We start from the raw sequence: 1,566 nt of genomic DNA, 5'->3' as shown, positions 1-1,566 counted from the left end.
GGATTGTCCAGCATTTCTGTGTCTTGGGAATGGAAATTAAGACTTCGGAGTTTTCCTCCAGTCTTTCTCATAGACTTACTGAACAGCCAGGTTTCAGAGACATGCTGGAGCCCCCTGGTGGTGGCTTCTGGGCACGGTAATAGCCATAACTGCAGGGTGAATGGAACCTGTGAAGTTCAAAGTACTTTGTCACTATGTTATCTTGTTATCACTGCAAGGAGTGTTAGGGATCTACTTGGCATCTTGTGGACTGACATATGAGGGAGGATAATGACATGTTCTAAGCTTCCAGGGTGTGGTGGGGATGATGGGAAAGGGCTTTGGTGCCAGTGGGATGGGTTAGCCTGGAGTGCTCCCCAGGGACAAAAAGCAAGGTTGCTGTACATAATGACAACCTTTGACTGGATCAGAATGAGACCCAGGTGAGCCAGGTCTCCTGGTGATTTTTATCTACTTTCAAGGTTTAGCTGCTCTGAGCTCTGTGAATTTCAAGTAGTCCAACAGTCAGTTTGGCGAATACATTCATTTACTTAGAGACTTAATAAATTAAGCCAATAAATACCTACCATATACTAGGTGTTAAGTGCTGTGGCAAGTGCTGTGGCAAATTCTGAGATGAATCATTGCCCCCACCTTCCACAAACTCACAATCTGGTGGGGATTATGAGACTCATAGACAAATAATTGAATGGAAGAACATTCCATGCTCCTGGATAGGAAGAATCAATATCGTGAAAACGGCCATACTGCCAGAGGTAATTTATAGATTTAATGCCATCCCCATCAAGCTACCAATGACTTTCACCACATAATTGGAAAAAACTACTTTAAAGTTCATATGGAACCAAAAAAGAGCCCGCATTGACGAGACAATCCTAAGCAAAAAGAACAAAGCTGGAGGCATCACACTACCTGACTTCAAACTATACTACAAGGCTACAGTAACCAAAACAGCATGGTACTGTACCAAAACTGAGATATAGACCGATGGAACAGAACAGAGCCCTCAGAAATAATACCACACATCTACAACCATCTCATCTTTGACAAACCTGACAAAAGCAATGGGGAAAGGATTCCCTATTTAATAGATGGTGCTGGGAAAACTGGCTAGCCATATGTAGAAAGCTGAAACTGGATCCCTTCCTTACACCTTGCACAAAAATTAATTCAAGATGGATTAAAGACTTAAATGTTAGACCTAAAACCATAAAAACCCTAGAAGAAAACCTAGGCAGTACCATTCAGGACATAGGCATGGGCAAGGACTTCATGACTAAAACACGAAAAGCAATAACAACAAAAGCCAAAATAGACAAATGGGATCTAATTAAACTAAAGAGCTTCTGCACAGCAAAAGAAACTACCATCAGAGTGAACAGGCAACCTACAGAATGGGAGAAAATTTTTGCAATCTACCCATCTAACAAAGGGCTAATATCCAGAATCTACAAAGAACTTAAACAAATTTACCAGAAAAAAATCAAACAACCCCATCAAAAAGTGGGCAAAGGATATGAACAGATACTTCTCAAAAGAAGACATCTATGCAGCCAACAGACACAT

This window comes from Homo sapiens, chromosome 11 (assembly GCF_000001405.40).
Source record: "Homo sapiens chromosome 11, GRCh38.p14 Primary Assembly".
NCBI lineage: Eukaryota > Metazoa > Chordata > Mammalia > Primates > Hominidae > Homo > Homo sapiens.
This window is presented reverse-complemented; position numbering follows the sequence as displayed.